The sequence below is a fragment of the Homo sapiens genome, chromosome 22 (genome assembly GCF_000001405.40).
Source record: "Homo sapiens chromosome 22, GRCh38.p14 Primary Assembly".
Taxonomy (NCBI): domain Eukaryota; kingdom Metazoa; phylum Chordata; class Mammalia; order Primates; family Hominidae; genus Homo; species Homo sapiens.
The window spans coordinates 22,725,391-22,739,358 of record NC_000022.11 but is presented as its reverse complement, the minus strand read 5'-3'; the positions used below and the strand labels follow the sequence as shown (position 1 = coordinate 22,739,358).

The 13,968-nt window shown below is 43.3% G+C and overlaps 1 pseudogene, 1 gene segment (V, D, J or C) and 1 further gene, besides 1 other annotated feature; all 3 read right to left on the bottom strand.

Moving 5' to 3' along the window:
• The window catches only part of IGL (immunoglobulin lambda locus), an 896,838-nt gene that overhangs the window by 183,555 nt on the left and 699,315 nt on the right, over window positions 1-13,968 (bottom strand).
• IGLV3-17 (immunoglobulin lambda variable 3-17 (pseudogene)) lies at window positions 168-448 on the bottom strand (annotated as a pseudogene). Its single transcript is given in 1 exon segment — window positions 168-448. A coding segment is annotated over 1 exon segment (281 nt).
• Window positions 4,270-4,739, bottom strand: IGLV2-18 (immunoglobulin lambda variable 2-18). The segment is given in 2 exon segments: window positions 4,270-4,577; window positions 4,694-4,739. Coding segments are annotated over 2 exon segments (354 nt in total).
• Window positions 5,235-5,735: an enhancer, noted in NCBI's record as "H3K4me1 hESC enhancer chr22:23076112-23076612 (GRCh37/hg19 assembly coordinates)". NCBI's record gives its function as "activates a minimal SCP1, AML or CMV promoter by ChIP-STARR-seq in primed H9 embryonic stem cells {active_cell/tissue: H9 hESC(primed)}" and the evidence as "EXISTENCE:reporter gene assay evidence [ECO:0000049][PMID:30033119]".

The following is a 13,968-nucleotide window of genomic DNA, read 5'->3' as shown; positions in this document are numbered from 1 at the left end:
TACTCTCTGCAGTCTGCCGGGAGGGCTGGAGGGAAGGGCAGCCTGAAGGGCTTCGATCCAGGTGACCCGGGCCAGCCCTGCTCAGTCCTGCTATGGCTGGAGAAAGAGGGTGATACAGACAGTGAAGGTCTTTAGATCTCACTTTCCAATCTGTCTGTGTCACTGTGAGATGAGTACCACTGTTGTCCCATGAGTGACGGTAATAGTCAGCTTCATGTTCAACCTGAGCCCCAGTGATGGTCAGGGTGGCTGTGTTCCTGACTTGGAGCCAGAGAATCGGTCTGGGATCCCTGAGGGCTGGTTGTTGTTACCATGTATGACCTGCACAGGCATCTGGCAGGGTTCTGCTGGTACCAGTTTGTACCATGGCTTCTTAGGTTTTCTCCCTGGCAGGTTACCCTTGCTGACTGTCCACAGACACTGCTGGCTCTGGAGTCAGCTTACGGGAAGCCACAAAGCCTATAAGAGAGGACAGAAGAGGTAATTATGAGGATGAGGGTCATTCCCAGACCCCACACTCTCCATCACTCCCTGTGCTGAGCTGAAGCTCAGGTCCAGGCTGATCTCTGGTCCTTTGGGGGCTGAGCCCTGGGAGGCAGTTCAGAGAGTGAAGAGGGTGAGCAGGGGAGGGGTCCAGGCCACGGTGGAGATGCTCCAGAGCTCTGTCTCTGAGCCCACAGCGGGGAGGGACCTTCAGCCCTCTCTTATCATAGGAAGGAGAGGCTCTTCATGCAAATCTACTTCTTTTATTCTTGTATCCTTGTTGGGTGGGCTCCCTGATGAGCAGTGAATGCAAATCTACTCCGCATTCCCCAGTGTGCCTGTCCTAGCTCCCATCTGAGCCCTGAGCCTTAAGTCTTCAAACTGATAATGTGCTAAGGTCAGAAGAAGGACCAGATGGGTGTCAGGAGTGGAGAGTAAATTTTACCCAATAGAAGGGGCCTGGGAGGAAGCATCTGTGACGCTCTTCGCACTTGAGCACTACCAGAGGACTTGGTGTCTTTCTGAGTCCTCAAACCAAGGTCCACAGTGCCTCCTCTGCCCACAGGAACAATGCCATTCTCTATGTATCACTAGAAAATTCAGAATAACCACTTCTGAGGCCATAGTGTATGCCAGATACATTGCTGAGTGTTTTACAAGCATGACCTCAAGAAGATTTGCATCATATGGAATAGGAGGATGAGCAGCCCTATGCTCAAGACCCAATCTTTATTATGGAATTAATATTGGGAGGTTAATGATTCTTCCCCAAGTCCCCAGACAGCAGTGAGTGGAGTCAGGATTGCACCCAAGAGATGCACCTCAGAGCCTGAACTTCCAGCCCCTCCCTGCCCCGCCTCCTGCACCATCCTCCATCTCCTCCTTCTCTGGCACCCAAGGTCTTTGGGGTCCCTTTTGTTTTCATTTGCTAGTGCTACCTTAATGAGATACCAAAGACCTGCTGGCCTAAAGAGCAGACACTTATTTTCTCACAGTTCTGAAGCTGGGGAGTCAAGATAAAGGTGTTGGTGGGTTTGGTTTTCCCTGAGGCCTCTCTCCTCGGCTTGCAGGTGGCTACCTCCTTGCTGTGTCATCACATGGTTTTTCCTCCGCATGCTCATCTCTAGTGTCTCATTTCTATGTGTGCAAATTTTCTCTTCTCAGAACACCAGTCAGATTGGAGAAGAAGCCACCCTCATGACCTCATTTTCACTTAATCACCTCTGTAAAGGCTGTCTCCAAATTCAGTCACACACTGTGCATTAGAACTTCATTGTATAATTCTGGGGGACACAATTCAGCCAAGAGCTCTCCAACCTATGCACACAAAAACTCATAGTTTTTGACTTGTAAAGCACATTCACTCCATCCCAATAACCCAAATCCTGAACTAACTCAGCACCAACTCTAAGACCAAACTCTCATTTACATATCATCCAACTCAAGTGTGGATGGGAGATTCACCATGAGGGGTTAAAGGATAACAGCTTTAGGGGGGTTTCACCTCCTCTCCCGTTGTCATCTGGGTGTTCAGAAAAATCCAATTTCCCACTTTGTTTGCAGAGGTTGGAAGAGATGAACAAGTCAGCATCAGCAACATCTGTGAGGTATATGTGGGGAAATCACATCTGTCCACTCTTGAAATAATTTAAATAATCTAAATATCCATAAATTGAATTTAATAATCATTAACCATGGAATAACTTTGCCAGTGTTTGAAAAAAAAAACAGAGCTGATACAGATAATAGAACAAAAGATAACACAAGTTAAATTGTTTTAAGAACAGAGTATGTCCCTATTAAGAAAGATAAATCACAGACAGAAATGGTATAGTCAAAAGAAATTCATCACTTATGCATATTAAACTACTATTTCCAATGTTACCATTAAACATCCTCATTTTGATGTGCAAATAAAGACTCTCCTAATGGTTATACAAAGTGCATTATTTTTTCTATTTGATATTGAGGTTCCCTTGTGGGGTGAGGGTGATCTTGACTGTAGGAAAGAAGAATGTTCCATGGGATGTTTCCTTATACCTAAAAACCAATTTCATAGGAAAGGTAATTTGCAGCAGAAACCTATTTCCACTAAAAAGGTCCTGTTCTTTTCCTGGCAACTTGCCTTGTGGTCTTTATAGTTTAACATCTCAAGCTCTCTTCCTTATCCCATTGTTAAATTCCGTTCTAGAATTTTCATGGAGTATAAGAATATTCAATACATTTAAAATTTAAACTGTTTATTTACTTATTATTCTCAGAACGTCCATGTTCTCTTCTGGTTTTGGCTTCAGTCAAATGCTGATATTAGGATCCTTCTCTCTGAGCCTGCCCTGGATATTCCAGCTTTGGTAGAAGCTTTCTTGACCCCTTGCCCATCCATATCCCTCAGACTTTTCCCTTAGGAGGAGTCTATTCCTGATATATTAAAGCTCTCCCAAAACTCAGAACAAGCAATGCAGATAAAAGTTATGTGATTGTGACACAGGGTTGTCTTGGGCAAACCCATGAGCCCATCAAATAGATGATGTGAGCATGTTCTTATCCAAGGAAAGACCTCAGCCGAATACAGGAGGTGAAATACAGTGACCCTCACAGAGAGATCCCCACCTAGATCATATGCTGGTGGAATTTTCAACATTCAGATAACTCTGCAAACCAGGGACCGTTCAACCACATCCTGTGGCCACTCCTGGCCTGACAACTGTTTTTGCATGGCCCAGAGATAACAGTGATTTTTATCTTTTTAAATGGTTACATTGTAAATGATGTTATAAGTACCTATGTAATATCCCTAAAGTTGATTCTTGGGCCACAAAGACTAAAATAATTCTTTTTAAAATTTATTTTTATTTGCATTAATTTAATAGAGATGAGGGTTTGCTGTGTGGCCCAGACTAATCTCAAACTCCTGGGAACAAGCAATTCACCTGTCTTACTCTTTCGAAGTGCTTGGGATTACAGGTGTGAGCCACTGTGCCTGCCCACAAACACTAAAATTCTCCTTATCTGGATATTTTTTATAAAGTTTACTAAATCCTAAAAAAAGAAAAAGTACTGAACTATTTCTGAAAGGGCCAAAATGTAAGCAGAACAGGAGACTCAAAAATAAAACTGTAACAAGGTAACATTTTTCTGTCTGATAAGCTGGCAAAAATTTCCACTTTCAACAATGTACTCTGAACAAGTACTTCCAGCTGGCATTGAAAATTGGTACAATCCCTCTGGAGGGGAATCTGACAACAATGGGTGAAAATTACAAACACACAATCTTTCTGACCTGCAATTTCACTTTTAGAAATGAATCCTGTGGTCATATTCACACAGGAACTCAAAGGAGTCTGCGTAGGGATGTTCGCTGCACTGTTATTTAAGATCAAAGTTGTGGCGATAACCATTAGAATGTAGTTGCTAAAATTCTACCCACAGTGTAGGGGATGGTGATGCATGTAGGGTGAAGACATCCCTGAAAAAAGCAGTGACTGCACCACTCAGGCAGCTCCTTGTCACTGTCCCTGCATTTGAAGAGCTGGGAAGAGCTGCACATTGAGGGACCACAGCGCACAAGCATCAGGAAGCTGTCCCTGTCCTGGATGAGAAACCACAGAGCGGGTTTCCTTTTGGAATTCATGGTGGAAAGGGAAGGAGCTGAGAGAGAAGAATTCTCAAGGCCGCACTGCAGGAAGCCGCTTGCACTGGGCGAGGAAGCATCTTCAGAGCAAGGAGGGGGCCTGAGAGCCCAGGGCAGGTTTTGGTCTCAGTTCCCCAGGAACTTGGACCTCTGTGGAAAGTGCTGCTGCTTGTATATAAGCTGCAGTAATAATCAGCCTCGTCCTCAGCCTGGAGCCCAGAGATGGTCAGGGAGGCCGTGTTGCCAGACTTGGACCCAGAGAAGCGATCAGGGACCCCTGAGGGCCGATTACTGACCTCATAAATCATGAGTTTGGGGGCTGTGCCTGGGGGCTGCTGGTACCAGGAGACACGGTTATAACTACCAACGTCACTGCTGGTTCCAGTGCAGGAGATGGTGACTGACTGTCCAGGAGACCCGGACACGGAGGGAGGCTGAGTCAGGGCAGACTGAGCCCAGGATCCTGGAAAAAGGAAGAAACACATTTTAGTAAGTCAGTGCTGGGCCCAGGTGAGCCTGAGGAGCAGGAGTTAAGGATCAGCCCAGAGGTCCCCGAAGCCCCTTCCCTGGAGGCCTCACCTGTGCCCTGAGTGAGGAGGGTGAGGAGGAGCAGAGCCCAGGCCATGGTGGAGATATTCCGAGAGAGCTGCCTCCTGAGATCCCAGCACTGGGCCTGACCCCAGCCCTGTCTTATCCCCTCTGCCTCAGAGGAGGGCGGGGCCTTTATGCAAATCTGCACCCTGAGCTCCTCTCCTCACTCCACCCTCACCTGGGCCTGGGCTCAGAGACTTCTTCTTCCCTGGACAGCGGGGCTCAGCCGAGGAGATTAAAGTCCCTGTTTGTCTATTCTGATGGCAGGATCTTAATTTTTTTGTACCTGATTTGCTCAGGAGAGAAAGATCTGCTGACATCCCTTACCTGAGTGAGCTCCTGGCTCTCAGTGTCTCTGCTGTGTGGCGCCTGTGTCTCTGTGGCCCTCCAGGCCTGGGCACATGGCACAGTGCCCTCTGCTTGGCACCCACCTCTAGGCTGTCTCTACTGTCAGGAAATGGGGCTACCCACCCCGTGGAAACCTCTGCTGGGCATCATGGGTCCCTGGTCTCCACAGCTGCAGCCTCGTCCCATCCCTACTCCCTACCTTTGGTGCTGAAGCATCTGCCGCATTGAATCCCTGGAGCACATCAGCCACCCCAGGCAGTGCACCCACATCCACACGGGCACATGTGGGAGGGACCCTGTGGAGGGAACAAGGAGCACTGACCAGGGCCAGAGTCCTGAGCCCGAGTCTGCTGCTCCCAATCCCGCCCTTCCCACTCATGAGCAGGCCACTTGTCCTTCCCAGCCTCTAGTTCTCAGCCTGAGAAATGGGGACCAGAGAGTCCACTCTGCACACAGGTGATCCATGGGGATATGAGCCAGCAGGTCAAAGGGAAAGTTTGTTACCAGGCCTTTCTGTGTGCATCAGAGTGATATTTATTGTGAATGTTTGAATTATTGAAAGACTTATTTCCATTACTGTGATTTATCTGTCAGGTCACAGAGACGCGTTTCCTGCTTTCTCGCTTTTTCCCATCTGAGCGCATCCTCAGGGCAACCTAAAGCTGGCTGCTCTCAACCCTGCGACACTGAAGACACACAGACATTTGATAAATACATTTTTATTTTTTCTCAAAATAACTTGAATATCTTTTCCTCTTTCCTCATTGCTTATGACAAAATTCTTTTAATGTTTCATATTAAAATAAATATTAATGGATTCAGCTTCCATTTAAATATTATAACATACACTGTCCTGTCTTCCCACCTAGATTCATCTCTGAAACCATGACAAGGGCATGGAGCAGCTATTTGAGCACCAGGAAAGGAAATGGTACACAGCAGTTTGGGATGGCCCCAGCAGATGAAATAGAACAGTCAGTGTGAGACTCCTGGATTTCCTCAGTGTCCCCTGGCTGGGATCCAGACAGCCCCAAACCTGAAGGGGCACAAGCCTGAAAACAAAAAGAAGTCCAGAAGGCCCTCTTGTTCAGGATTGAACCTGGGAAAGAAAACTTTGGCTCCAAGTGAAGGCTCAGTCCCCTGCACAAGCAGGTGGTTCACACCTGTGTTCTCATCTCTCTCATACCAGCGCCTCTCCCTGGGTTCACACTGATGTCCTATGGAAGGAGACGGGGCTTCCTGCACCAGGTCACTCCACAGCCCCTGTAACCTGAAGCCCTGCAGACCAGCCTTGTTCAATCACAATATGATGTGAGCCTCATGGGAATCCCACTGTCTAGTTGTCATGTTATAAATACAAAGAGAAGAAGTCAATGAGTTTAAATAATGTATTTTATTTACCTAGCATATCAAAAAGAGTATCATTTTCATATATAATGTAAGTACAATTATTTATGATATATATCATATACTTTGCATGGCTATTGTTATTACTTTTTGAAGAATCTTGGAGATTGTGTGGCTGATGGAGATGTGAATGGGTTTCCTGTTGACAAGGGTGGGGTGTGGTGGCTTTTTAAGTGTCAACTTATGTGAAGGCTCAGTCCCCTGCACAAGCAGGTGGTTCACACCTGTGTTCTCATCTCTCTTACACCAGCGCCTCTCCCTGGGTTCACACCAATGTCCTATGGATGGAGATGGGGCTTCCTGCACCAGGTCACTCCTCAGCCCCTGTAACCTGAAGGGGTGCAGACCAGCACTGTTCATTCACAATATGATGTGAGCCTCATGGAAATCTGAATGTCTAGTCATCGCATTAAAAATACAAAGGGAAGAAGTAAATGAGTTAAATAATTTACTTTATTTACCTAGCATATCAAAATAGTATCACTTTCATATGCAATGTAAGTACAATTATTTGAGACATCTTATATATATACTTTGCATGGCAAGTGTTATTATTTTTTGAAGAATAAACTGTAGATCTTCTGTTTAAAATATAAGTCCAGTGAAATGTGGTCATATCCACATGTACTCCTGCTTCCCGTGTATACTGAACACAAGATTGATTTTCCCACCCCAATAAGAACAGCTGCACTGTAACTGGGAGCACCTGATGTTTCTGTCACTAAACCTCAGTGTGTACTTGAACCATCATCACCATCATTGTCATGGTATTTTTTCCATTAATCATAAGAACAAGAAGATTAAGGTAGAAAATTATGAGCCTAACTAGGTGGGACCTTTCTGTGTTCAAACCACAAAGGAGAAACTCTATAGCATTCCCTACAACTGTGGTTTTATCAGCATGGTTTTATTTTTCCTTATAAACTTAAATATTTATCAAAAGTTAACATTTCAGTGATTAAAATTGATACATTTCTTCCCCAAGATTTTGATCATTTTTATGTTTTTGATGTGAAACTGTGCTTCTTATTGCTAGAAGGCCTTTTCTTTCCTGTAGGAATAATAAAAATTACTTTTAAACAACATTAGGCCCCTGTTGGATCACAGGCCCTAAGTGGATTCCTAGGTCCCAGGTGCACATCAGGAGCACGTGTACAAGCAGGCCCTGGGTGGACTTACCTGTGTACAGGTAAGGATCTGGCCTGGGGGGAGGGTGAGCAGCCAGCAGCCCAGGGGGTTCTGAGTAGGTCTTATGGAAGGAAGGGGCTGAGGATACGGAACCTTAAAGAAGTGACTTCACTTCCTTGGTGATATACCCTCACAGAACTTAGAATTCTGGTAACCAGGCACCCACATCCTAGAGACAGTCCCGCAGCCAGTTCCCTTGGTGGGAGATGCTCAGGAGAGCAAGATGTTCTCATGCTGCATCCGCATATCTTGAGGCTCCTGCTTCAGGAGGGCCCAGAGTGACAGCCTTTTCCCATGATGCCGATGCAGGCTCATTCCTCACCCCAGGCACCTCTGGCCGAAGGCGCACCCAGGTACCACAGGACAGCCCTGGGCAGGCCCTACGAGGCCAGGCCTCACTGGTGATCCCATCCGGGCCACATCCGTGCATTGTCCTTGGCCTGCTGGAGCCTCTGGAGTTCCTCCAGGCACAGGCACATGGTGAGGGGGGGCCTGTAGTTTTGGAGACTTTGCGGGGGCAGTGTTTTTGGACTGGAATTCCTTTAATTCAGTGAGGCTGATTCTGTGTGTGGAAATTCCAGTGGAAAGTGACTGACATTGGTGACTCTTTCTTCTTTTTCATCTCCTGCTCAATGTGCGGCAATCCAGGACCTTCCAGCACCAGCTGATGAGCCAGTGCCAGCACTAGGGGAAGAGCCCCCTTCAGGGACAGAACTGGAGCTAGAGGCAGCTGCAGAGCCCTCCTGCCCCTGCCCTGGTCCTGCCAAGGACCAGCCCATTAAGGAGCTGCCTGACATCATGGCACCTGCTCTAGCCACTGGCCTCAGCCATGGGGCTGAAAGCATGGCTTGAGCAAGAGGTAGAAGAGAGCAGGTGGCCAGCACAGCCCCAGTCAGCAGCTGCCACTCTGCTCTCAGCCCTGGGCACTGTGGGAGGCATGGAGGCAGAGACCCAGGTATGTGGCCTGCGCTCCTCTGACTCACTGGAGTCAGCAGTGAGTGGTCAGCACATTTTGTGTCTGGTGAGGGCTTCCTTCCTGGTTCATAGACGGCCATCTTTGTACTGTGTCCTCACATGACAGAAGGGATGAGGAGTTCTCAGCCGTCCCTTTGATAGGGACACTGATCCCCTTCACGGGTTCTCTGCTTTCATCACTTAATCACCTTCCAAGGCCTCACCTCCAAATCCCATCACATAGGGAATTAGATTTTAACACATGAATTGGAGGGGACAGTAAGATTTGGTCTACAGCATCAGGACACTCTGAGCCCTTTGCACTCACAGGAAATCTCTAATCTTCTACAAGTGTTTGCTGGTCCCCTCTGGGTTTAGGGAAATTTGTAATTGCCGCTCTTGAGTCAGCTTGGTCCAAGCTTAAATTTTACATTTGCCCACATAACTTGTTCATGAGACAGAGGGAACTTTAGTGGCAACTGACCATTTGGGAGGTTTAGGGAATCCATGGGGGAGGGCTTGGGATCTGGATGAGCAGAACTGGAGGGAGGAAAGGAGAAAGGTGCAGAAGGAGAGAGGGCAGAATATGAAAGGGGAAGAGGACCTCTGGATACAAGGGTCAGCTGAAGGGCAAGGAAGGTAATTTTCCTTGCATTGTAAACTCGGATCCCGTATCATGTCAGCATCATCTGAGGAATACACTTTTTCAATGCATATTCCTGGGTTCTGGAAATGTTGATTTCATAAATCTGGAGTTATGTCAATTTATCTGTATTTATCATAAGAATTTTGGATAATTCTGATGAAATTAGACCACAAAGCAGAGCTTGACAACCACTCGTTTGGGATGTGTATCTGGAAGACATTTGATTATATGAAATAATCACAGAAAACTGAGGAGGAATTGTGTATTTAAAAATGCTTGCATATAATTCAGCTCTTCCTATATATGCAGTTTGACCACACATTTTGTCTCTACAATACTAAGATTGGAAATGTGCAGAAAGTCTTTTAAAAATCAAGTAGTCGGAGGAAAGGAGTTGGAGAGAAAAAACAACTGACAATTATCTGATAAGAAGAGAAGAGAAGAGAAGTGAAGGGGAAGGAAGTAGCATATTTTTGTACATTATTTGATGACATCTAAATTATAAGCTCAAATTGTGTTTCTAAGGAAGCCAATAATACAAGTTTTCAGAGTGTAGAGGGTGTAGTGCCAACACTGATTTGCTGGGAAAGAGAAGTGTACTCTGTCTTGCTGCGTAACGTGAAACAGGCTCAAAAAAAGGGTCAGTATTTAAGAAGTGTTTGTTTTATTGGTGCTGAATTATTTTATCTCATACTTAGTTGAAAGTGAAAGGGCTATAAAGTGCTTAGGTTGAACACAAAGTCCTCTGCTATCGGTAACATCTTCAGGAGCCGTATTAGAGGAGGGACACGTAGCAATGGCGGAGTGAATGACTCTTTGCTTATGCATTAAACCAAACAGTATGGCATGTATTTTATTAAGAAATCTGTTAAGATGAAGTAAACCTCTGGTTCTTGTTCCTAATAGGCACACTATTTGCTATGGCAGCAAGAACAAAAGGCTTAAGTACCAAAAACGTACGTTAACTACAAACATTTTCGTATAAACAAAACAATGTGAGCATCCATATATGACAGTAACTCCTAAGCCCAAAATATTTTTAACTGAGATTGAAATCATTTTCTGCATAACAAACGTTATTATTGTATTCTGAGATGATGTATTATTTGTATATGGATACTATAAATATTAACTTATTTAAGTTATTCATTATTTATTCAACAAATCTCTGGAATCTACAAAATGCTGGTTTCGGCACTGAATGTAGAATTGATATAAAATATAATACTTTTTCTTAGTGGTTGATTAAAAACACTATATATATATATTAGATAGAGGTTGTACTATTGAATCAGGCAGAGACTGACTTGCTAATAAAAAAATCAGGAAACCCAGTGTGATTATTTTTAATAATAATCTATATTTTAATACAGGGCTCTTGTTTTTTTCTCATAGAAATATATTACAATATGGAATTTCTGGTGTTTGGTATCTGAATGTTTTAGTATAGCAGGTATAGTGAGTTTTCCAAAGACATTTTACCAGCTTACTTGCCCATCAGTGACTCATAAGATATTACGTGGAACCACATCCTCTCCAACAACTTCTAGTATCAGTCTTTGTAAAGCGTGTCTATTAAATGGGTGTGGGTTTTGCAGGTGATTATTCTGTTACTGAAAGATACTAGGATACCTAGCTGTAATAAGCGAGGCATGCAGAGGCACATGTTTAGAGTGTGTCCCGACCCCGGAATTAAAACAAATCCAATTTGTGCCTCCACTGTTCAATAAAAAGTTTCCTTAAGAATCCAGAGATCAGGCATTCCTTTGAGAAACCACTCCAATATGGTTTCTCACCTACTCACTCCAAGAAAATTGCTCTTATCAAAGCACAAACAATATCCATATCGTTAAATGATGAATTGAAGCATAATTCCTCAGCCTTTGTCTTAATTTATGTATCAGCAGCATTGAAAGCAGTTGATCTCTTCCTCCCTCCTTTTTTCAAAACTTTCTTTGAGAGAATTCCAGAACACTTAACCTACTTTCCCTTTGACATTTTTGATAATTACCCCTAGTACTTTTTTGCTGGTTTCTTCTTGTCTTTATCACTTTTTTTTCTTTCTGAGATGAAGTTTTGCTCTTGTTTCCCAGGCTGGAGTTCAATGATGCAATCTCGGCTCACCACACCCTCCACCTCCCTGCTTCAAGCGATTCTCCTGCCTCAGCCTCCTGAGTAGCTGGTATTACAGGCATGAGCCACCACACCCGGCTAATTTTGTATTTTTAGTAGAGATAGGGTTTCTCCATATTGGTCAGGCTGGCCTTGAACTCCCGACCTCAGGAGATCTGCCCGCCTTGGCCTTCCAAAGTGCTGGGATTCCAGGCATGAGCCACGGCACCCGGCCTACTACTTTTTGGGTGTTAGATAACCACTGGACTCAGGACTTTGACTAATGTTTCTTATCTTTGCTTTCTTACTAATTTTTGTGTCACTCATTTCCTGATATTTTCTTTGATACCTTAACACTAGACTACGCACAACACTGTCTGACTTCTCCATTTGGACATCTGTTAGGAATGTCAAAATCAATAAGTCCACATGGAGCCACTGATACTCCTCAAACTTGCTCTTCCCCATTCTGTTTAATGGCACCTCCCATTTTATAGTTTCTGAGCTCAATATTCGTGGTGTCCGCTTTTAATTCTCTCTGTCACTGCAGATCTGTCGTTCTCTCTCGGTATCTGTCTGGTTTTCACTCTCTCTCTCTCTCTCTCTCTATAACACACACACACACACGCACACACATTTTTTCAGATCTGACATGTATGAAAATCCTGCCAGCTTTACCTTTAAAGTGAACTCATTCCAAGTGGTATTTGCAAATTCACCTTCCCACCCTCACCACTTGGTGACTATAGTACTTCCCTCCCAAGGCCAAAGCTCTACTGCACAGATTTCTTGAGGAAATAATGAGAACTACTATACATTCTTATTTCAGGGGCCCTCAAAATACAGGCTAGCCATATTCTATATGAATTTAAGCTTCTATCGCCCTATTTTTCAATCCAGTCTCCACACAGCAAGCACAGGAAGCAGTTAGAATTCCAAGCCATATCACAACACTCCTGTTTTAAAGTCCCTGATTAATTACTTCTTTTTTCCTCATTAGAATTTAAGTTTAACGAAGCTGGGCAACTTTGTATGTTTTCCCACTGACCTATCTTCAGAGCTGGAGATCACTTGGTGCAAGATAAACGATCAGTAAATATTTTCAAACAGCAGAATCAATTATAAATAGTTTTACTATAGAGTACACACTGAGACTTAAAAATCAAGAAAATAGATTCATCAAGAGAATTCTGTTTTGATTTTGTTATCCCTTGATTAGATTATCTGTCTTAGTATAAATTTCAGTGTGGGAAGCTGTAAGCATTTTCTAAATTTTAAAATAAAAGACAAGGAATTTAAATATCTGCTCCTTTTATTTAAGGGATAAAAAAGACAAGCTTATCTTTTAAAATAAATTTTATATATGTATGCACAATCTAAATTTATTTTTCTCTCTTTATCCCTGAATACTTTGTAAAGGTATTCATGTCCTCATTTTTTAAAAATCCACTTCAATGATAACATTTTAAAAGATATTTGCAACTTCCTTAAGAATATCTTGGTGTTCCACTGAACAGCTTGCCAAGTAATACATTAGCAGTACAACTTCCTCATAATGCTTTAATTTGTTTGATTAAATTTATAAATTTCCTACTCTCAACTCATAATTTCATTCACACATCATACATCCTACTTGATCTCTGTGGGGAGTTCATTCCATATATTTACTATTGAAAATGGTTTTGATATCTGAACAGAAATGTATAATTGTATCGCTGGTTAGACTGTTCTACAGAATCTCTTTCTGTTTTGGTCCTGTTGCTTATTGATTACAGAGTGGCTCTGGTACTGTAAAGCTTGAAATATCTTCTTCCTTTTTTTCTTTCCCCTTCGTTCCTTCCTTCCTTCCTTCCTTCCTTCCTTCCTTCCTTCCTTCCTCATCCTTCCTTCTCTTTCTTTCTTTCTTTCTTTAACAGGTTTTGCTCTGTTGCCCAGGCTGGAATGCAGTGGTGCTAACAGGGCTTACTTCAATTATTTTTTAAACAGAAATATATCTAATTACATTAATCAAATTTCTTTTCAATGTAACCAACATTTCTTTTAAGTGATGAATTAAATATTTATCATGTTTTAGCCTCTACAGTTTACCTTCTGCAGCCTCAACTTCTCTGGCTCCAGCAATCCTCCCATCTCAGTCTCTTGAGTAGATGGGACTACAGGCAGTGCCACCATGCCTGGCAAAGTTTTATAACTTTTGGTAGAGATGGAGTTTCATCATGTTGCCCAGGCTGGTCTTGAGCTCCTGGGATCAGACAAAACTCGCAGCTCGTCCTTCCAAATTGCTGGGATTATAGACTTGAGCCACCATGCCCAGCCAAAAGGTTGAAACATTTTCTAAGTTTGAAAACAAAGTTCATGTTATTTAAATACCTGTTACTTAAAATTTGGAAGACATGTTAACACCATAGAAACCCAGAGCCTGCATTTTTAGATTAGTAACCTGTAGATGTTTTTCATTCCTTCTAAAGTTGAAACAATAAATATTTTGTATTCAGATAATTCTTGATAACAGAAGGTAACTATTTAATTTTTCACTTAAAAGAAATGCGGTTACTTTGAAAAGACATTTGGTTAAGGTAAGTCAGATAAATTTCTGTTTAAAAAATAA